General features: G+C 40.3%; 1 protein-coding gene, 1 long non-coding RNA gene and 1 pseudogene across 8 annotated transcripts in view, besides 6 other annotated features; 2 read left to right on the top strand and 1 right to left on the bottom strand.

Annotated features, from left to right (window-relative positions):
• Nucleotides 233-351, top strand: RNU6-552P (RNA, U6 small nuclear 552, pseudogene; annotated as a pseudogene).
• Nucleotides 5001-21419, bottom strand: LOC107984674 (uncharacterized). The gene is made up of 4 exons (XR_001750746.2): nucleotides 21069-21419; nucleotides 12766-12899; nucleotides 6022-6081; nucleotides 5001-5339 (listed from the first exon to the last, which is right to left on the bottom strand). It is a non-coding gene; the product is annotated as an uncharacterized LOC107984674 (long non-coding RNA).
• Nucleotides 20341-21290: an enhancer, noted in NCBI's record as "H3K27ac-H3K4me1 hESC enhancer chr14:45722623-45723572 (GRCh37/hg19 assembly coordinates)". NCBI's record gives its function as "activates a minimal SCP1, AML or CMV promoter by ChIP-STARR-seq in naive H9 embryonic stem cells {active_cell/tissue: H9 hESC(naive)}" and the evidence as "EXISTENCE:reporter gene assay evidence [ECO:0000049][PMID:30033119]".
• Nucleotides 20341-21379: a biological region, named in NCBI's record as "H3K27ac-H3K4me1 hESC enhancer GRCh37_chr14:45722623-45723572".
• Nucleotides 20860-20919: an enhancer, noted in NCBI's record as "active region_8306". NCBI's record gives its function as "activates an Ori minimal core promoter by ATAC-STARR-seq in GM12878 lymphoblastoid cells {active_cell/tissue: GM12878}" and the evidence as "EXISTENCE:reporter gene assay evidence [ECO:0000049][PMID:35858748]".
• Nucleotides 20990-21179: an enhancer, noted in NCBI's record as "active region_8305". NCBI's record gives its function as "activates an Ori minimal core promoter by ATAC-STARR-seq in GM12878 lymphoblastoid cells {active_cell/tissue: GM12878}" and the evidence as "EXISTENCE:reporter gene assay evidence [ECO:0000049][PMID:35858748]".
• Nucleotides 21200-21379: an enhancer, noted in NCBI's record as "active region_8304". NCBI's record gives its function as "activates an Ori minimal core promoter by ATAC-STARR-seq in GM12878 lymphoblastoid cells {active_cell/tissue: GM12878}" and the evidence as "EXISTENCE:reporter gene assay evidence [ECO:0000049][PMID:35858748]".
• Nucleotides 21480-21539: an enhancer, noted in NCBI's record as "active region_8303". NCBI's record gives its function as "activates an Ori minimal core promoter by ATAC-STARR-seq in GM12878 lymphoblastoid cells {active_cell/tissue: GM12878}" and the evidence as "EXISTENCE:reporter gene assay evidence [ECO:0000049][PMID:35858748]".
• MIS18BP1 (MIS18 binding protein 1) overlaps nucleotides 21508-22789 on the top strand; it is a 50013-nt gene continuing 48731 nt past the window's right edge. For 4 of the 7 annotated variants that reach the window (NM_018353.5, XM_005267833.6, XM_047431548.1 and 1 more), the window contains exon 1: nucleotides 21508-21675. The gene's annotated coding sequence lies outside the window, so the exon portion shown is untranslated. Of the gene's footprint in view, nucleotides 21676-21786; nucleotides 21893-21944; nucleotides 22281-22789 lie in introns of all 7 variants that reach the window. The other 3 variants (XM_047431545.1, XM_047431546.1, XM_017021425.2) reach the window with 3 other exon arrangements.

The following is a 22789-nucleotide window of genomic DNA, read 5'->3' as shown; positions in this document are numbered from 1 at the left end:
ACATTGTTGAATCCTAGTGGCTACCACCTTAATCAAGTGACCAAAGTAAGCATCAGTAAGAGAATATAGAAATATCATGTGACAACTGATAGGATACAATGAGAAAACACAGAATTACTTCTGTGATATTCATGCCAAGGTTGCATAGCTTGAATCTAATCATGAGGAAACAAATCCAGACTGAGGGATAAGTACTTAATAACTGGCCTGTAAATCTTCAAGGATGACAAGGGTGCTCACCTTGGCAGCACAAATGGCAGCATATATACTAAAACTGGAACAATACAGAGAAGATTAGCATGGCCCCTGAACAAGGATGACATACGAATTTGTGAAGTGTTTCATACTTTTTTTAAAAAGTGTCCAGGCCATGAAAGTCAAGAAAAATCTAAAAAAGAGATATGACAGCTACATATACCACATGATTTTGAACCAGATTTTTTGCTATAAATGGTATTATTGAGACAATTGGCAAAATTTGATTCGGATCTGGAGACTGGAGGCAGTTAATGCATCAATGTAAATTTCCTGATTTTCATGGTTATTTTGCAGTAAAAGGAGAATGTCCTCATTTGTAGGAAATATACAGTAAAGTATTTAAGGAATGACCCATTCAAATAGTTGTTGTTTTTTTTAAGGGTCTTCTACTATACTTGCAACTTTTCTATAAGCTTGAAATTATTTTAAAATTTAAAAAGGGGTCTGGCACGGTGGCTCACACCTATAATCCCAGCACTCTGGGAAGCCAAGGCAGGTGGATCATCTGAGGTCAGGAGTTTGAGACCAGCCTGGCCAACATGGTGAAACCCTGTCTCTAGTGAAAATACAAAAATTAGCTGGGCGTGGTGGCATGCACCTCTAATCCCAGCTACTTGGGAGGCTGAGGCAGGAGAATCACTTAAACCCGGGAGACAGAGTTTGCAGTGAGCTGAGATCCTACCACTGCACTCCAGCCTGGGCAACAGAGCAAGACTCCATCTCAAAATAAATAAATAAATATTAATTAGTAACTTAATTTTAAAAATTAAAAAGGAGTGGGAGGTCCAGGTGAGCCCAGAAAAACAAATTTGAAACAAAACAAGCAAAACAAGCTAGATTGCTTTACTATAACAAAATAACAGGAACTTTCATTTTTCTACTTTCCACTTTTTGCATTTCTTTGTGGTAAATCACTCCATATTCTGCCAGGGATATCCATGTGCCTTGAGAACATTTAAGTGTATTATAGCAGTTATGCAAATGAAAGGAAAAGTTCATATCCACCTTCAGGGAGTCAAAATAGGATCTTAAAGCAAGTCTTGAAAGCTAGGCTTAGTATTTTCTAAATTGATTTACTTCCAAGAACATGTCAGGAAAAAGTCTAGAGGACTTAGACCATAGGGCAGAGAGAGCATGCAGGATGCACTCCTTTTGACTAAAATGGCTAGGCCCTGAGGCTTGCTATATAAGGCACAAAATAGCAGTTCTCAAAGTGTGGCCTAGAGACCTCCTGAGGATCCTCAAGACCTTTTCAGGAGATCTGTGAGGTCAAAACTATTTTCATAATGTACTAAAACATTTTGTGCTTTTTTCACGCTCACGCTGTCATGAGTAGACAGTGGAGTTTTCCAGGGGCTACATTATATATGAAATTCCAACTAACTGAATACAGAAGCAAATATGAGTTACTATTTAAGCTATCTTCTACTTAGCCAGACATTAAAGGGAATTGCAAAAATATAAAATAATGCCATTTTTTTCATCAATGGTGTTATATTTTGAAAAATATAGTTATATTTCATAAAATATGGTATGTATTATAATATTATTAAAATTTCTGCTTTAATTTCTTATATGGTAAATATTGATAACTATAACCCAAACAAATCAAATTTATTTAGGGTCCTCGAAAATTTTTATGAGTATAAAGGAGTCATGAAACCAAGTGGGTTAAGAATTGCTAACACAGAAGCAGAAAGTCAATCCCTTCCAGGTTAAAGTGTTATAAAAGAAAAAAAAAGAAGAAAAAGCTAAAGCCAAGAAGTCAGTTACTTGGATTCTCATCTCTCTCTCTCCCTATGCCCCCGTACTTCTGTTCAAACCTTGAGTGAGTTTAGAAACATCCAGATAGGTATGGGAAACTCAAGAATATTGAGACTAACATATATTAGAAGAAGGCTGAAAACAAGAATTCTCACATTTTTTTTTTTTTTGCGCCATGGACCACCTTTGGAAGTCTGATAAAAACATATAGATCCATTCTTAGAATGTTTTTATATTCATAAAAGAAAATACACGGAAGTCCAAAAAAAAATATGTTGAGATACATTTCTATTCATATGCCCCCAAAAAAGTCCTGCATATGACTACTTCCAAAATGGCACCAAAAAAATGATGCAATAGCAACTGCAGGCGGCTGTGGATAAATAAGCTTGGAACAACACCCCTGGAACACACCTCTTCCCTATGGCCAGTCCTTTTCAAAATGCACAGGATCCACCTATGTCCCATGGAATGGATACAGAAGTGTAAGAGACTTGGGATTTAAAAAAAAAAAAAAAAGAAGAAGCCATGATGTGGGGATACTTCGACACCTCCAAATAGCTTGGACCATGTACTCTAACAGCCGACTTCAGCATGTCACCACCTGCAGACTTCAGCATATCAGACTTTAGCATATCAGCACCCCCAGTGGGGGATGCTGATAATGGGAGACACTATGCATGTGTGGGGACAGGGGGCATATGGGTAATCTCTGTACTTTCCTCTCAATTTTGCTGTGAACCTAAAACTGCTTTAAAAAAAAATTTTTTTTTAATGTTCAGCGTTGCTCCTGTTGCTCATCCCTGAGTCTATCTAGACATTTGGAATCACAAGACTAGAATAGGTGAATAGGTCTCACTATATAGGTTCTCAAAGCAATCCACAAGTCCAGAGGCTTGTCTTCATTGACCACTCCCATATAATAGCTCAAGTGGAAGAGAATGAGATCTTTATGGGCATGTGCAATCATCATCTTGGATAAGATGCTCCATATTCCAGATAAGAACCAACATTCATGGGCATAACTTCCTGGTCCCCACAAAAGACATTGAGTTATTTAGGAAAGCCCAAAGTTTTGGCTTCACACCAGGAATTTGTAGTTCTTCACAACTAGTCAAGGTAAATTTATCAATCAGGATTATTTTTACTATAAACAACATTGCTAGTTACACAGTTCACATTCTGCCATTTACAGGTTTCTAGGGAAATATAATTAGAAAGTTAATCCAAGGTAAATTTTGTCCACACAGAAAGAGAAAGGGTTTTGCTAACCTTTACACATTCTTTCTATGTACCTTTTCCCAACATTGCATTAAACACCCTTGAAGCCACTAAAAAAGGTGAAAACTCACATCAAGACCAAAAACTAAGACTAATAGATATTTCAATGCTGGATCTGGGATAAACAATACTTAGTATAAGACAGATGGAATTTTTCTGTGAAAAGCACTTACACTCTGCTTCATGAAACACAGATTGCCTGAAAAGGAGTTAGAAAATAATGCATACTTCACTATCTGTTTCTGAAGTCAGGGATATGGTATCTCCATCAACTAGAAATTTAGAATGCTATTCTTCTTTTTAAAAAGGGCCAGTCCATGAGTTGACTGTGTCTCTCCTCCATAATGTTGAGAGACAATTCTCCAGTGATCTTTTGTGTTTCTGTATGTCTCATGAAGAGGCACTGACAGCTTTTGTTCCAGACTATCTTTTCAAGGATGTTTGTATGGAAAACAATCTTAGAAGATAAAAAGTTGAGTCTCCCTCTAAAGCAGAGCGTATATTTGTTTCCTGACCATGATAGTAAATGTGTCTCTAATGAAATATTTTTGTGAAAACTGACCTAATCGAAAAGAGATATCATAGATCTCACTTTTAGGAGCAAGTAAGCTAATAAATAAGCTGATTTGTTTTGCAAATCCCAGAAAGTTTCAGGAATTGGAGGCTCCAGATACATCTGAAGGCAAAGTGTAGAGTTGAGCTTAAAACAGAAGAAATGGTTGAAAGTCTGTATTTAAAAAAAAAAAAATCATTTCTCAGTCCTCTTTCCTTAGCCCAAAATTTGGGGACACCTTTTGCAGCTGATTAATTAAGAGGTGATTAATTGAAAGTCTTTATACTAAAAGGTGACACCCCTAACCCTCTTCCCCAGTTTGTCTCACAGAACACCAGTTAACAGATTTATACTCTGTTTGCCTCTCCTGGTCCTTTCTCTGCCATTCTCTCCCTGGCTCTGAGAAATTGACTTCTGTGGACTGTATCAGCTAGGCTCCCTTAGCCTCTGGCTTGCATTTGGACTCAGCCAATGAGAGCCACCAGCATAAGATTGCAGGGTAAAAGGAGAGATGGGTTGAGCTTTTATTCTCTTTCTCCCCTTCCCTTGCAATTTTTGGCAGTGACTGCACTTCTCTACTTTCAGATACAGCAACTGTTGGACGCCCTCTCACACACAACTACAGATCATTCCAAGTTCCAGTATACTGTTAGGCCTAGGAGAGGTAATGGCTTTCAGCTGTTTTTAGTCCTGGAGTGTTTACCACCTCTTGATTGTTCCTGTTTGTGAAGGTTTAGTAATGTTTCCCTCATTAAACTCTTTTCAAGGAATCCTTTCATTGCTCTTTGCAATTTCCCCTTTGAGTGATCCATCTGTTTCTTTTTTTCTTTTTTCTTTTTTTTTTTTTTTTGAGATGGAGATTTGCTCGTTGTCCAGGCTGGAGTGCAATGGCATGATCTCGGCTCACCACATCCTGTGCCTCCCAGGTTCAAGCAATTCTCCTGCCTCAGCCTCCCGAGTAGCTGGGATTACAGGCATATGCCACCACGCCCAGCTAATTTTGTATTTTTAGTAGAGATGGGGTTTCACCGTTTTGCCCAGGCTGATCTTGAACTCCTGACCTCAGGTGATCTGCCCACCTCAGTCTCCCAAAGTGCTGGGATTACAGGCGTGAGCCACTGTGCCCGGCCAGATCCATCTGTTTCTTATAGGCCCACAAAGTCACATACCCTCTGGCAATTTTGCAGGATGCTTCTACTGGACCACCTGAACAAGCCCAAGAGAAAGGCCTACAGAGGTTTATTTCTAATCAAAAGGGAAAAGCATGAACAAATGCCCATAGGCATGAAGCAGTTAATTGTGTTCCAGGAACTAAGTGCTACTAGGTGTTACATGTGAGGTGGGGAGTGAATGGAGAGTAGGCCCAGAAGAGACAAATGCCAACTCAAAAGAGCATCTTGTAACTCATATCAAGGATCTTGGAGTTTACACCGTAGGCTCTGCAGAGGCACTGAAGGATTTCAAGTTTCAGTTTCAATCAATGCTGGAATAAAAATGAAGGAAAATGTAGGCAAGGCTAGAAGATGGAAGACATAAAGACATGACAGAGACAAACAACTGCAATGGTTTCAGTGAGAAATATTGAAGGCCATGATTCAGACTGTGGTGAAGGAATGGAGGAAATGGACAAAAAATTAGCAGCTATTGGGAGGCAGAATAGGTGAATGAGGGAATAGGGGGGAAACAGTCCCGATTGGCTCTTGGGCCTCTTACTTAGCAATGGATAAACAGCCTTTCACTGAGATAAAGTGTAGAAGATGACAGAATTTAAGAATGAGATTCACTGGCGGAAGGAAGGGGGTGAGGCGGGAACAATGATAAAGAGTTCTATTCTGAAAATGCTGAGCTGGAAATAGCTGTGGGAAATGTGGGTGAAATTGTCCCTGAGGTGCAAGGAAAGAGCTTCCCTTCAACCCACTGGTCAGTGTAGAGGGCATTGAACTCTGAGTTTTCCCCTCCCCCAATGAGGGAAACAAAATACAAATCCACAGCAAAAGAAAAACGTAAACAAACAAACAAACAAAAACAGAGCAAATCTGCCTTTGATCTTAGCATGGTAGTGGGCAACAGCCAAAACCAGAATAAAAGGCTCCCTGTGTAGATACCCATTTGACCACAAGATGGCATCAGAGCTAAGCTGCAGGAGAGCCCTAGTCAGAACCTACCTCAGTGCATCAAAGCCATCGCTTAACTGTTTGTTTTTGTTAGCAAGGAAGGGCTGTTCACTGGCAAAAAAAAAAAAAAAAAATTACTGAAAAGAGACATTTAGAATATTCTAAAACAAATTATACAGACTATACAGTATGCTCTAGGAGCTGGTAATATGGCACGTGATGAGCTGACTAGAGAGTCAAGCAGGTGCCTGTTTAAATTGGACATCAAGGGCTGTGGGATAGCAGGTGTCACATAAGCAGACAACTTCAACATAAACCACAAGGTTGGCCAGTGCGGTGGCTCACACCTGTAACCCCAGCACTTTGGGAGGCTGAGGCAGGCAGATCACTTGAGGTGAGGAGTTCGAGACCAGCCTGGCCAACATGGTGAAACCCTGTCTCTACTAAAAATACAAAAAAAAAAAAATTAGCCAGGTGTGGTGGAGGGCACCTGTAATCCCAGCTACTCGGGAGGCTCAGGCAGGAGAATCACTTGAACCCGGGAGGCAGAAGTTCCAATGACCTGAGATCATGCCACTGCACTCCAGCCTGGGTAAGAGTGAGACTCTGTCTCAAAAATAAAAAAAATAAAACTACAAAGTATGAAAGGTGATCCAGAAGTTAGGTCAATTGGCATAACAATCAGAAACAAGAACAAAAACACTAGCAGGTTTATGTATCACCAGGCATGACCTCAGGCCTCACCCCAGGTGGTTGTTGAAGAGGCCCAGATATTATCCCCAGGTCAAATATTAGATTAGACATGGGCATTCTGCCCTCTTGGCCTATAATAAATACCCCCACAAACACTGCAGTTGAGTCACTCACTGTGAAGCTAGATGAGTTAGCAAGAAAAAAACCATGTCAGTGTTAGCATCTCATTCCTTCTTCCCCAAAATTATATGTCCTAGGAGTCATCTCAGCATGGAGAGGAGATGGAAGCAGCAGGAGTAGAGAGAGACTTACAGTATTTCCCCCAAGATTGGGAAGGGGATATAATATTGAGATTTCTTTGAGAGGCAGGAATCTGCAGGGGCAGAGTAGGCCAATATATTTTCAAAGTAGCCACTACTTAGAGAGAGAGAGAGAGATTTGACATACCACACTCAAAAGTAGGAACTGGGAAAATCAAGCCATCTCCTATGTATCTCCTAATAATTTGAGACTCTTTAATAAAAGAATTCCATTTCTTTGAATTCAAGCTAGCTTCAGTATGCCTTTTGTACCTATTAGTATGAACTTAAATGGGAAAACACAATACACTTTATAAAGTCACATGATATAAATCATAGATGCCCCCACCTCCCCAGCCCACTTCACTTTTAGTTGTAACCAAAATACTAGTTATAATAGGCATTACAGACATAGTTACTATTAATACCACCAGGCCTCCCATATCACCCCAACCTCAGCTCACATGTAATTGAACTATAAATAACTATTTCATCAACTTTCAAGCTGTCTAGGAATGGGCCATATCTCTGAATCATTTATACTCTAATATGTCACATGGCTATCTCTAAACCTTCCAGTTCTATTTGATTAATTATTACTGTCTTCAAGCCCCTCAAGACCTCTTGTCTCTTGATCCTTCTGTAATAATATTCCTAATAGCCTTCTCTTGCCTTTATTTTTATTACCATTCATCCAAAAATTTTTTTAAAAAGTCTATCATTTGAACCACTCACCTAACTATATTTTTATAACTCCTCTGTATTCTTTTCATTCTGCTATATCCATTCCAAAATAACTCTAGGCCTGGATTAATATTTTCCCTTACAAAATTTATTAGAAATAAAAACAATCAATCCTGTAAACTGGTGCAACTACAAATCCCAACTCCAACTTTAGCTCGATTCTCAATATACTATAGCAATCTTTCTGTTTCTCTCAAGACAGTTCTCTCCCATTTTCTAACAACAGCTGTTCCAAAATTTAAATACTCTTTTCACCAAGCAATCATTGTGAGGATTAAACATTTCAATATCTGCTAACTTAATTTTAGCCAATGATCTCTCTTCCTTACATCAGTGACAAAAATATAGGCCATGGAGAAGAGTTTAACATGAAGACGATCCTTACCTAAAAAACTCATGTGTAGGCCGGGCGCAGTGGCTCAAGCCTGTAATCCCAGCACTTTGGGAGGCCAAGGAGGGCGAATCACGAGGTCAGGAGTTTGAGACCAGCCTGGCCAAAATGATGAAACCCGTTTCTACTAAAAATATAAGAAATTAGCCAGGCACAGTGGCAGGTGCCTATAATCCCAGCTAATCAGGAGACTGAGGCAGGATAATCACTGGAACCTGGGAGGTGGAGGTTGCAGTGAGCTGAGATCGTGCCACTGCACTCTAGCCCTGGTGACAGAGTGAGACTCCATCTCAAACAAATAAACAAACAAACAAAACTCATGTGCATCTCTACCAATAGTTCCTCCCAGCTAGTCATTCTAAAAGAAATCTCCCTCCATTTGTAAAGGCTGGCCGAGCACAGTGGCTCACTCCTGTAATCCCAGCACTTTGGGAGGCTGAGGCAGACGGATCACTAGGTCAGGCGTTCGAGACCAGCCTGACCAACGTGGTGAAACCCCGTCTCTACTAAAAATACGAAAAATTAGCCTGGTGTGGTGGCAGGCACCTGTAATCCCAGCTACGCAGGAGGCTAAGGCAGAAGAATCACTTGAACCCAGGAGGCGGAGGTTGCAGTGAGCTGAGACCATGCCACTGCACTCTAGCCTAGGCAACAGAGCGAGACTCTGTCTCAAAAAAAAAAAAAAAAAAAAAAAAAAAAGGCTAACAATTCATTAATCTTTGCTCAAAGAAAAAAAATAATCTCAGCACAAATATTTCCTTAGTCCCAGCTGGTCTAACCTCTTTCTCTCTCCTTCCTTTTACGTATTTCTTGGGGAACAAATATCTTTGTGTTTGTCTCCAGGCACTCACCTCTTGATTATACTCTGATACCATAACCAAGCTTCTGCCCTACAAACCTGTTGTCCCCAAGGCCCCATGATTGCTAAATCCAAAGAGTATACTTTAACCTTTATTACATTTGCCTTTTGGGTAGCATTTGACATTAGAGAAAAAATAATGTTTCTAAATTGCATATCTGTAATAATAATAACAACAACTACCATATACTAAGTACCTAACATGTGCTAAGTGTTTTATACATGTTGCCTTATTTAAGCCTCACAATGATTCCATCTCATTTAATGAGAAAATGGAGGTAAAGTAACTAGCCAATAGATATACAGAGAGTAAGAGAAAGAACTCAGATTTGGAATCCCTTAATGACTCCGTCTCAAATGACTCTAAAATCCATTCCCTTAATGACTACGCTATTTTCAGACCTATGTAGCATGCTGCCTACTGGTCGGTCCCTCTTGGATTACAAAGTAAATTCAAAATGATCAAGCCTAAAACTAAACATATCTTCTCAACCCCCGACAAACCCTTCTTCCAGTATTATCTACTTCTCTAAATGGTACCATTATCCACCAAAATGCCCAAATCAGAAACAAGAAGGCTTTCTTTAAAAATTTCTCTCTTCCAAGTCCTACATCAAATTGATCATTTAATTCCGTCAACTCATTCCCTTAACTTCTCTCCAATCTGCCCATCCCCACTTTCAGAGTTTGGGTTAGGCCCTCATCATGTCTCACCATAACAACTACAAAAATTTCTGAGACAGAATTCTCATCTAGAATGCCATCCACTTCTAATCAATTCTCCACACACTGTCAAAGTGATCATTCTAAAACTCAAATGTTGGTGAGAATGTGAACAACCTGGATCACTCACATACTGCTGCTGGTAGGAATGCAAAATGGTACAGCCACTCTGGAAAATAATTTAACAGTTTTTTTAAAACACTAAATACTTCTCACGTTACCCAGAAATTGCCATCCTGGGCATTTATCCCAGAGAAGTGAAACTTAAGTCCACATAAAATCTTATGATTTTTCATAACAGTTATATTTGTAATAGCAAAAAAAAAACTGGAAATAATCAAAATGCCCATCAATAGATGAATGGTTAAACAAATTGTGGGTATATCTGTCAATAAAAGGAAACTATCAAAACTATTGATACACACAACTTGGATACAAGGGCATTATACTAAGTGGGGGGAAAAAGCGCCAATCTCAAAAGGTTACAGGTATAATGATTTTGCTTATACAACTTTCTTTAAATGGCAATATTAGAGATAAAAAAAAAAATGATTAGGGCTGGGCATGGTGGTTCATGCCTGCAATTCCAGCACTTTGTAAGGCCAAGGTGGGGGAGACTTGAGGCCAGAAGTCTGAGACCAGCCTGGGCAACATGGCAAAACCCTGTCTCTACTAAAAATACAAAAATTAGCTGGGCATGGTGGTGCACACCTGTAGTACCAGCTACTTGAGTGGCTGAAGCACGAGAATCACTTGAACCCAGGAGGCGGAGGTTGTAGTGAGTCAAGATAGCTCTGGAGAATAGCCAAAGGTCTACAGCAACCAAGAAAATGCTGAACCAAGAAAGTGGGCAGACCACTTGAGGCTGGGAGTTCCAGACCAGCCCGGACAACATGGCAAAACTCTGTCTCTACCAAAATAAAATACAAAAACTAGCCAGGCACTGTGGCACATGTCTATCATCCCAGTTACTTAGGAAGCTGAGGTCGGGGGGTTAACTTATACTGCGAGGTCAAGGCTGCAGTGATCCATGATTGTGCCAACGCACTCCAGCCTGGGTGACAGAGTGAGACTGTGTCTCAAAAAAAAAAAAAAAAAAAAAGGAGCAACTTACTATCTAAAGCAATCTGCAGATTCCATCAAAATATCAATGACATTCTTCACAGAAATAGAAAAAAAATCCTAAAATTTGTATAGAACCACAAAAAACAAAGCAATCCTGAGCACAAAGTTGGAGGTTTCACACTACCAGACTGTAAAATATACTACAAAGCTGTAATAACCAAAACAGCATGGTACTGGCATAAAAACAGACACATAGACCAATGGAACAGAATAGAGAACCCAGAAATTAATTCACATATCTACAATCTACAATCAACTAATCTTTGACACAGATGCCAAGAACACTCATTGGGAGAAAGGATGGTCTCTTCAATATATGGTCTTGGGAAAACTGCATCTCCATATGCAGAAGAATAAAACTAGACTTCATCTCTCACCCTATACAAAAATCTACTCAAAATGGATCAAATACATAAATGGAAGACCTGAAAATATAAAACTACTAGAAGAAAACATAGGTGAACTGCTTCAGAATATTGGTCTGGGAAAATTTTATAAGCCCTCAAAAGTACAGGCAATAAAAGCAAAAATAAATACATGAGATTATATATAACTAAAAAGCAATCAACAGAATGAAAAGACAAACCAGAAAATGAGAGAAAATATTTGCAAATAACTCATGTGACAAGTGATTAATATCCAGAATATACAAGGAACTCAAACACCTCAATAGCACAAAAATACAATCTGATTTTCAAATGAGTAAATGATCTGAACAGACATTTCTTAAAAGATATATAAAAATGGCAGGCTGGGCACGGTGGCTCACACCTGTAATCCAGCACTTTGGGAGGCCAAGGCAGGTGGATCACTTGAAGCCAGGAGTTCAAAACCAGCCTGGCCAACATGGTGAAACCCAGTCTCTTCTAGGAAAAAATACAAAAATTAGCCGAGCATAGTGACACTCACCTGTAGTCCCAGCCACTTGGGAGGCTGAGGCAGGATAATTGTTTGAACCTGGGAGGTGGAGGCTGCAGTGTGCTGAGATTGTGCAACTGCACTCCAGCCTGGGCAACAGAGCAAGAGCAAGAGTGAGAGAGAAAGAGAGAGAGAGAGAGAGAGAGAGAGAGAGCGCGCCAAGAAACACATGACAAAATGCCCAACATCACTAATCATCAGGGAAATGCAAATAAAAAGCACAATGAGGTTTTATTTCACCCCAGTTAGAACGGCTATCATCAAAAAGACAAAAAAAAGCAGATTCTGGCATGGATGTGGAGGAAAGGGAACTCTTAAAACACTGTTTGTGGAAATGTAAACCAGTAGAGCCACTATTGAAAATACGATGGAGGTTCCTAAAACAACTACAAACAGAAGTACCATATAATCCAGCAGTCCCACTATTGGGCATTTATCCAAATGAAAGGAAATTAGTATATCTAAGAGACAACTGTACTTGCATGTTTGTTACAGCATTATTCACAATAGCCAAGATTTAGAATCCACCTGGGGTTCAACAACAAATGAATGGATAAAGAAAATGTGGTATATACAAATGGAATACTATTAAACTATAAAAAAAGAATGAAATCTTGTCATTTGCAACAACATAGATGGAGCTGGAGGACATTATGTTAAGAAAAATAAGCCAGGAACAAAACATTAAACATCACACGTTCTCACTTATATGTGGAAGCTAAAAAATTTCATCTCATAGAAGTAAAAAGTAGAATACAGGATACTAGAGGCTGGGAATGATAGGGAGAAGGGAGGGATAAGGAGAGATTTGTTAAAGGTTATAAAATTACAGCTAGATAAGAATAAGAAGTTCTAGTTTTCTATATCACTGTAGGATGACAATAGTTACTAAGAATATAATTTCAGGCCACACATGGTGGCTCACACTTGTAATCCCAGCACTCTGGGAGGCTGAGGAGGGTGGATCGCTGGAGCCTGGAAATTAGAGACCAGCCTAGGCAACATGATGAAATCCCATCTCTACCAAAAAATACAAAATTTACCTGGGCATGATGGTATGTGCCTGTTGTCCCAGCTAATCCTGAGGCTGAGATGGAAGGATCCTTTGAGCCTGGGAGGCAGAGACTGTAGTGAGCCAAGATTGTGCTACCACACTCTAGCTTGGGCGACAGAGACCCTGTCTCAAAAAGAAAAAAGAAAAAAGAAAAAAAAATAAATATAATTTCAAACAGCAAAAAAAAGACACTGAATGTTTCCAACACCAGAAGAAGATAAATGTTTGAGATCATGGATATGCTAATTAACCAGATCTGATCACCAAGCATTACATGTATAAAAACATCACCATGTACCCCATGAACATGTACAATAACTATTTGTCAATTAAAAAATTTAAAAGAGGAAATGTTCTTGTACAAAAGCTTTGCAGCATTTTTGATTGCCCTTATTGACCCCCCCCATAGGAAAAGAGCCTGTTGCATGACAAGAGTGATGCCACCTTGAAGTGAAACTACCATGATGACCATGATGACTCCTGCAGCAAGGTCTTTAAGAATGCCTGTAACATGGAAAACGTCTCATAAATAAACAATCCCTGTAGCATAAATAAAGATGCTTATCTAATCTCCCCAGTAGTCACGTTTCACAAGAAAGTCTGAAGCATGACAAGCTACACAAATCTTTACCCTAAAAGCTTGCTTTACAAAGGATATTTTCTGGAGGGCAGGTAGAGGGATCCACCATCTCATGCCCACCCAAGACATTGCTTCTGTTCATAAGTCCTATTAAATGTTTCTTTCTGAAGAACGGGATTTTTCAGCTTGCTTTCTTCAGCATCTCAGCACCTTTGGCAGCAGTCTTGAAGACAGCACCCATTTCCAGTGTGGGACCTTGGTCCCTGGTTGTGGAGGGAGCACAGACCTTATGCTTAGAGAATTGTGTTTGTCTGTTCTAACTTATTTGGCAGTGTATTAGTCTGGATTCTCCAGAGAAACACAACCAACAGGAAAGAGGGAATGAGAGAGAGAGAGAGAGAAAGAGAGAGAGAATAAAAAAAAGAGAAAGAGATTGATTTACTACAAGGAATTGGCTCATTGAAGTATTGAAGGTTGAGAAACCCAAGATCTGCATCAGTAAACTAGTGACCCAGGAGAGTCAATGGTATAGTTCCAGTCCAAGTGTATTAGTCTGTTCTCACAATGCTAATAAAGATATACCCAAAACTGGGTAATTTATAAAGGAAAGGGGTTTAATTGACTCACAGGTCAGCATGGCTGGAGAGGCCTCAGGAAACTTACAATCATGGTGGAATGGGAAGCAAACACATCCTTCTTCACATGGCAGTGGCAAGGAGAAGTGCTGAGCAAAAGTGAGAAGAGCCCTTATAAAACCATTGGCTCTCATGAGAACTCACTATCACAAGAACAAGCATGGGGGTAACCGCCCCCATGATTCAATTACCTCCCATCAGGTCCCTCCCATGACATGTGGGGATTATGAGAATGACAATACAAGATGAGATTTTGATGGGGACACAGCCAAACCATATCACCAAGTACGAAGGCCTGAGAAACAGGAGAACAAATGCTGTAAGTTCAAGTCCAAGAATGAGTCCAAAGGCAGAAGACTAAAGTCCTAGCTCAAACATATTCTGGCCAAAAGAAAGAATTCTTTCTTACTCAGCCTTTTATTTTATTAAGGCCTTCAACAGACTGGATGAGGCTCATCCATGCTGAGAAGAGCAATCTGCTTTACTCAGTCCAATCCAAAAATGAATCTCATCCAAAAACACCCTCACAGACAAACTAAGAAAAAAATGTTTAGCCAAACATCTGGCAATCCATGATGCAGTCAAATCGACACATAAAATTTACCATCAGAGAGTACTACTTGAAAGAATGACAGAAGGCACCTGACTTTGTTTTACATAACTTGAAACCTATTCAGCATGAAAAAAAAACAGCTACACAAAAGACATTCCTCAAAAACATTGTAAGACAAATGGACAACATGCTGCCACCTAGGACAAAGAATTACAATTGAGGCAAATAATAGATGCAGTGAAAGCCTGCAAGGAAAAGCTGGGTAGAGTTTCTCTGGGAAATTATTCAAAAGTGTCTCCATATACTGAGGAATTTAGAAGCTATGCACGTGCCTAGGACAGGATGCATGTTCAAAAACAATCTAAAAAGACCCTAAGCTTTTACTTCTGGCTTATCTTTGGGCTCAGCACAAGCAGGGAGTGAAGGCTTAGGCAGAGTTATAAATGGCCTCGCTAAGTACTGAAAGCATGCTCTAACACACAGCCAATCTTCAAAGGTTGGAAGAGGGTTTTTTGTTGTTGTTGTTGTTGTTGTTGTTTCTTTCTTTTCTTTTATTACTTTATTCTATTCTAGGATAGCTCCTGGTGATCAGGAAAATATCTATCAAAGCACCCCTGAACACAAGCTAAAGGAATAGAGACATCAGAGACCACACAGGACAAAGAATACAGACTTTACAAAGATCATATAGAAAAGTCACTAAACAAGCAAACAACTATATTTCACAGGAAGCAATAACAACAACAACAAATCCTAAGAAGAGAGAAGAATCTGATGTCCAGAGTTAGCATATTTTAATATTCAAATGTCCAGTCTCCAGCAAAAACATTATGAAGCATGCAAAGAAACTAGAAAGTATGGTTTATTTACAGAAGAAATTAATATAAGCTCTCCCTAAAGAAGCACAAACACTGAACATATTAGACAAAAATTTAAAATCAACTGTCTTAAATATGCTCAGAGAGGTAAAGGAAACCACAAAGAGTTAAAGGAAACCAGAAGAATGATGTGTTAACAATAGAAAATATCAACAAAGATAGAAATTATGAAAAGAAACCAAGTAGAAACTGTGAAGCTGAAAAATACAATAACTGAAATGAAAATTTACTAGAGGGTTGCAATAGCAGATTTGAGCAGGCAGAATAAAGAATGAGTGAACTTACAACTGTTGACTACAATCAAAATTATCCAGACTGAGGAGTATAAAGAAAAAAGAAAGACCAGGCGCGGTGGCTCACACGTGTAATCTCAGCATTGTGGGAGGCTGAGACAGTAGAATCACTTGAGCCCAGGAGTTCAAGACCAGCTGGGGCAACATAGTAAGACTCTGTCTTTACAAAAATTAAAAAAAAAAAAGTTAGCTGGGTATAGTGGTATGTGTCTGTAGTTTGAGCTACTCGGGAGGCTGAGGTGGAAAGGCCTCTTGAGCCCAGGAGTTCATAAGGCAGTGAGTCATAATTCTGCCTGTCAGCCTGGGTGACAGAACCAGACTCTGTCTCAAAAAACAAAAAAGAAAAAAGAAAAAAAATGAAGAATAATTATTGGAGTCTTTAAAAATCTATGGGAATAATCAAGAGTACCACCATACACATTACAGGAGTCCCAGAGGAGAAGAAAAATAAAACAGTGGAAAAAGATGTTGAAGAAATAACCAAAAGCTGCCCAGATTTGGTAAAAGACAGGAACCTATGCACCCAAGAATCTCAACAAACTCCAAGAAGGATAAATATAAACAGTTCCACACTGAGACACATTATAATCAAATTGTCAAAAGACAAAGACAAAAAAAAATCTTAAAAGTAGGGAGAGGAAAGATTTGTCACATACAAGTGATTCTCAATAATAAGAACATCTGATTTCTCATCAGAAACTATGTAGGCAAGAAGGCAGTGGGATAACATAGTCAAAGTGCTGAAAGAAAAAGACTATCTACCAAGAATTCTATATTCAGCAAAGTGTCCTTCAAAAACAATGGAGAAATTAAGACATTAGCACGTAAATAAAAGCTGAAGGAGTTTGTCACAAGTAGACCTATACTATAAGAAATACTAAAGGGAGTTCTTCAGGCTTAAATGAAAGAAAACTAGATGGTAACTAAAAGCTCTAAGAAGAAATCAGGAAGTTAGATAAATATAACTACATCAGTAAATACAAAAGCCAGGATCGCTATGTTTTTGGTGTGTAGTTCCCTTTTTTTATATGATTTAAAAGACAAATGCATAAAATAATTACAAATCTATGTTAATGAACACACAATGTATATAGATGCAATCGGTAATAATAGAAACATACAGGAGAGGACTCAGCTGTTTAGGGGCAGAGTTTTTGTATGCTGTTGAAACTAAGTTGGTATCAATCCAAACTAAGGTAGTATAGATTTAGGTGGAAACAACCCAAATGTCAATGGAGGAACAGATAAATAAAATGTGGTATACACACACACACACACACACACACACACACACACAAAATATGGAATACTGTTTAGCCACAAAAAGGAATATAGTACTAATCTACAACATACAATGTTTGATATATAAACCTCAGAAAAAAACTGTGAAGGAAGCTATACATAAAAGGTCCATATTGTAATATTGTATGATTCCATTTATATGAAATATCCAAATAGGTAAATTCATAGAGACAGGAAGAAGATTGGTGGTTGCCTAGGACTGTGGGGAGGGGAGAAGAGAGAGTGACTGCTTAAGGGGTATGAGATTTCCTTTTAGGATGATAAAAAATGTTTTACAGGTGGTGGTTGCAGAACATTGTGAATGCATTAAATGTCATTGAATTGTACACTTTAAAATGGTTATTTTAAGTGAATTTTACCTTAATTTTTTAATTAAAAGCCCTGACCATGCTGAAACATGAAAATGTTCATTTTGTATTACAATCATACACCATAGGAAGTTTTCTTAAAGAGGAAACAGAAAATAACAGCACACACTGCAGAGTAATGTTAAGTAATGCTTTTAAAGCTTTTTGTTTAATTGAGTTTTGTGTATTTATTAAGTTACAATGTACAATATTTCTGTGGGTTGCAAAAAAAAAAAAAAATGGAAAGCCCCTGAAAATAAAATCCTGCTGCTACACTCTTTTAATTATTCTTCTGTGGGAGGTATGGAAACATGCAATTCTGATCTTTTCTTAAAAAAAAAAAAAAAGTCATTGAGCTGTGAGGAGTGCAGTTAGCTGACAGCTTCTGGCTGCAAAGCCTGTGAGATCTGTTAAAGCCTTTGTGCCAAGGCCATGTTCTTCCCAGGCAGCCTCCAGTCTGGCAGATACCAGGGCCTGGCCATGCCTGCCCACTACAGGACTTCTCTGATGGGCAACCCCAAATCTTCCTATTGAGTCAGCCAGGACTTTGTCAAATCTCTACTGCATTCTTAGACTGCACCTACCCAATTCCACTTTCATCAGTCTTTCCTGTCAGATCTGTATCAAGATCTGAAGATTTACCAGGTCCAGTTCTTCTTCCTCCCCCTTAGTCTTTCACAGGACCTATTTCCCAATAATCCTAATTCCAATTTGGCATCAGCTTCCTGGGTGATCTGAACTGATATATCCTCATAACACTTATCACAATTTGTAATATGATTATGGGTTTGTATATTGTCTCCATCACATAGCAATTTCCTTGGCAGCCTTTTTCACTGAAGGGTCCTCCTGTCACAAAACCTGGGTAACTTCCTCACTGACTCCCTCCTGTAGCCTATACAGGGGAGTAGTGCTTTTACTTTGTGCCTTACATAAGGGCACCCAGCTAAGAGACTGAGAGGGGGCTGAAATCCTGTTTCAGGGCTATATCTGCCAAGAGTAGAATTTCTCAACCATGGCACTGCTGATATTTTAAAATAGTTAATCCTTTGTAATGTTGGGGGGGCTGGCCACCCCACCATTACACTATGACGTTTAGTAGTATATCTGTCCTCTACCCACAAGATGCCACTGGTACCCTCCCTAATTGTGACATTTATAAATGTCTCCAGACATTGCCAATTGTCCCAAGGGGGGCAAAACTTTTCCTGCTTGAGAACCCTTGGCCTTGAGGAAACATCGTTTTTCTACTTTCTCCAAAAGTACTGCTACAACTTTTCACGGTCCTGGGAATATTCCTCCAGGCTAAGCATGCCCAGATGCCTTGGTAGCAACTCGCACACAGTGTGAAGCTTTCTGTCTCTTCCTTTCATGTCCGTTTTTTTGGACCCTACATGGGTCCGCATGTGTTCCCATGAGGTATAGGCCTAGGATGGGACAGATTATCCCAGGTGGCTGTGAACTGCAAATCCATGTCCAACCATTTTCTCATTATGGTCTCCCCTCCGAGCGGACAAAAACTTAAAGGAGGGCCAACCCTGGTCAGCACTGAAACTGCCTTTGCAAAATTATGACTGGGACAGTGAAAGAAATATAAATTAACTGACTCCATCTTGCTTCTAACCTCCAAGCTGTCCTTGTTCATTCCTGAGTGTAGGTTGAACTAACTTTCGGAGAAACTTAGTTTGTAGTTTATAGTTCGAACAACGACGGTAATAGCCCTTACCTAAAGCAGACCTCCTTCTTGCCTAGAGACTGGATTGCCTTTGTAGAACATTAGCCACAATATTAGAAATTATGGTTTAGGAGTCATGCAGCTGGAGGCTACAAGATTCTGCCCCTCCTTAAACTGCTCCCAAGATCAGTGCTTATTTTTCAGACCCAGCACTTAGGGGATCAGCTGGCACCACCCAGATCAATAAACTGGCTCATCTGATTTTGTGACTCCCCAAACCAGAAACACTCAGCGCAAGAAGACAGCTTCTACTCCCTATGATTTCATCCCTGACCAATCAGCACTCTAGTTCACTGGGTTCCCCGCACCAAATTATTCTCAAAAACTCTGATCCCCAAAAGCTCAGGGAAGACTGATTTGAGTTATAATAAAACACTAGTCTCCCGCACAGCCGGCTCTGCGTCAATTACTCTTTCTCCATTGCAATTTACTTGTATTGATCAATCAGCTCTGTCTAGGCAGCACGCAAGGTGAACCCCTTGGGCGGTTACAGCATGTTGCCATTTAAGGGACAGAGGTACTGTCCCTTGGCCTCTAGGCTTTCTCATCACACTTTCTTATCCACAAACTGTTTAATCCAATTTTGCTTGGAAAATTACTAGTCATCTTATGTAAATTCCTGTGGCCATTCACATTGGGACATACTACATACTACTTCCTTCTTACATGAGAAGTGGCTAATTTAAAAAAAGTGTGCATTTCTGAGTGCCTGCTGTTAATACTTCAGGGTTCCTATTTTGTCTAAATGTGTGAGCCACGGCCATCTTCATCAGGCACAGAAACGTCCTATACCTCAATTTCAGGTGCTTTAAAATCTGAATGACCATCCCTTCAAACTTCCTCTATCAAAGTATATTTCATACATGCCATTTAACCTGTTTTAAGGTGGGTTTTTCCCAAAAAAGTAGTGCAAATCCATGTCCAACCATTTTCTCATTATGGTGTACAAGAAAGAAACTTCATTTTATCCAGGTAAGTTTGCTTCCTTTCCCCCTACCTCCAACTGTTTTTCCTTATTTGCATTCACGTGGATGTTTTAAATTTATATTTTGGATTTTGATTATTCAGTGTGTACAAAATTTAGTACATGCAGGATTTAGAAGGGACTGCAAAAGTCACTTTAAAAAAAAATTACCACCTTTTCAGTAAAGCCTCTTAATGGGGAAATGTGGTATGTGACTAGAAGTTGACTAATTTTCTTAGATGGAAGTATAAAATAAAAAGAAGCTCTGTTGTCACAAATGCGGATGGGGGGAAGAGGACAGACTTCATGCAGGACTGGAGTTGGACAGGGTTCAGGGCTGAGAACACACCTTACTACCCTGGCTTCCCCTTCTCTACTTTCAAGACTGAACCAATGTGCCCTATACAAGGCGAAGAATACACCCGGTCACTCCGCGGTGGTTAGAGTGGAGATTCACTGGGTGCAGTCTAAAGCGGGACGCAGTCTGGGGGCCACCGTCACAAGCTGCTTACAGCAACCTAGAGTTGTCGAGATTAATGTTTCTGGAATGTGAAGTGACTTAAAAAAAAATTAATCACTTCCTGGCTCGGTGCGGTTGCCTGTAATCCTGGCACTTTGGGAGGCCGAGATGGAGGATCGCTTGAACCCAGGAGTTCCAGACTAGGCTGGGCAACATGGTGAGACCTCCTCTCTACAAAATAAAAATAAGCCAAGCATGGTCGCGCGCGCCTGTAGTTCCAGCTACTCGGAGGCTGAGGTGGGAAGATCCCTTGGAGTTCCAGACTGCAGTGAGCCGTTATTGCGCCACTGCACTCAGGCCTAGGCGACAGAGCGAAACCCTGTCCCCCACGCCCAAAAAATCGTATTTCCTGAGGGAACAGTTCCAACTAAACATCCCACTTTGTGCGTAACTTTACATTCAATCCATCATCACCTCAAGAACAAAATGTTCTTTCTCCGCCTCAAACATGGAGGACAGAAAAACAGAAGTTCTCTCAAACCCACCAAGCACGCTGTTTTCCTGAGACGGAAAAGAAGGATAACAGCCGCTACGGCGCACAGCCTGTAGGGGAGGACGGCAACCAGGAAAGGCCAAACTTAGCCGCAGTAGTGCCGGGGCGTGCTCGCGGCCCACGGCGTCCCACGTCGTCCCACGTCAGCCTTGTCCCGGCAGAGCTTCACGAGAGGAAAGGCGGGATTCAGGGTGGGCGCGTGCCCTACGAAGACGAAACGAACTTTGAAGACAACTAGAGGAGCTCGCCCCCTGCCTGTGACAGCTTAGGGTCGCCTACTTTTTGTGGACACACTGCCGTCCACGGAGTGCAGAGGCCGCCTGCAGTTTTCTTGCGTCCCTGTGAGACGCACGGTGGCGCAATTCCCGAGCGTGCCAATCCCGGGCTGGCTGGAGGGCGGGCTCTTCAAATTTGAATTGCGGAAGTGTTTTGTGTGTTAGAGAACGTCGCGGAGGAGGTAAGCGTCGCTTGGCGCCTGGCCGCCGCGGGCAGGATACACCGTGGGCCTGAGGCGCGAGCCCGGCGGCGTGCGGCCCTCTCTCCGCGCGGAGCCGAGCCGGAACTGCGGCAGTCTCTCCCTGCCAGGCTCTTCATCCAAGGTACGTCCTCCCCGCGCCCTCCGCTAACCTCCTACCGCGGGTCCCCGCAGATGGTGGGCGTCTGCCCTTTAAGCATCTCGGCTCACGCGGTTTTATTTATTTTTTTTGTAGATTTCTGGCTTTGGTACGGATTTTATACTTCGCACTCGATGTTTACTTGTTGCGTGTCTACTGTACTTAAGAGAGTAGAACACGATTGCTCAAATTTATTTCGATGGTGAGCGTTCTAGGTCTTTGTTCTAAAATAAATTTTTTTTTTTTTTTTTTAGAATACCAAGTGGGAAAATTGTATTCCTCAGTACCCAACTCTTCCCCTTGGGACCCCAGGACCCACAGGGCTATAGAAGCAGTTGATCATTCAGCTTATGTTTTCTTCTGGTTAAATTGCATGCTTGTTGCAAACATCTTTAGATGTTAATAAAATTATTTAGAAAATGGTCGGGCGCGGTGGCACACGCCTGTGATCCCACACTTTGGGAGGCCGAGGCGGGTGGATCTTTTGAGCTCAGGAGTTCAAGAAAATGGTAGGCCACTTCATCCTGGCCTTCAAAGATAAACACTGTTTACAATTTGGTTCACCGCTTCCAGAGTTTTTCTCTATGCCTGTATGTGTTTTATTTATTTACTTAAAAATTTTTTTAAACAAATGCAATTCTATGTTGTTACTTTCTTTTTCAATTTAATGTTTCTTGGATACTTTTCCATATAAGTACATATATATCTTTTTATTGAATACATAGAGTAAATTGTATGGATGTGGCGGGATTTATTTTGTCCTTTATTGGTAGACATCTGGGTTGTTTCATTTCATTTTATGCTGCAGTGAACTTCCCTGTGTAGTGGGTGTGTAGACTGTTGCCTGTTGGTAAATAACTGAAGCTATGGAGTCGGGTAGAATCGGTTCCTCTTTCTCACTTATTGTCAAGTGACCTTGGGCAGCTTACTTAACCACCTTATACCTTAATTTCTCTTTTTTCAAATTGGGAGTAATAACAGTACTTAACTCTTTAGAGTTGCTGTTAGATTATATAGTGGCTGGCATGTAAATATTCAGTAAATATCGGCAATTATGGTACATATATATTTGCATTCTTACGCAGATGTTTCTATAGGA

The sequence above is a fragment of the Homo sapiens genome, chromosome 14 (assembly GCF_000001405.40).
Source record: "Homo sapiens chromosome 14, GRCh38.p14 Primary Assembly".
Taxonomy (NCBI): Eukaryota; Metazoa; Chordata; class Mammalia; order Primates; family Hominidae; genus Homo; species Homo sapiens.
The sequence above is the reverse complement of the archived record's forward strand: the minus strand, read 5'-3'. Positions and strand labels throughout refer to the sequence as shown.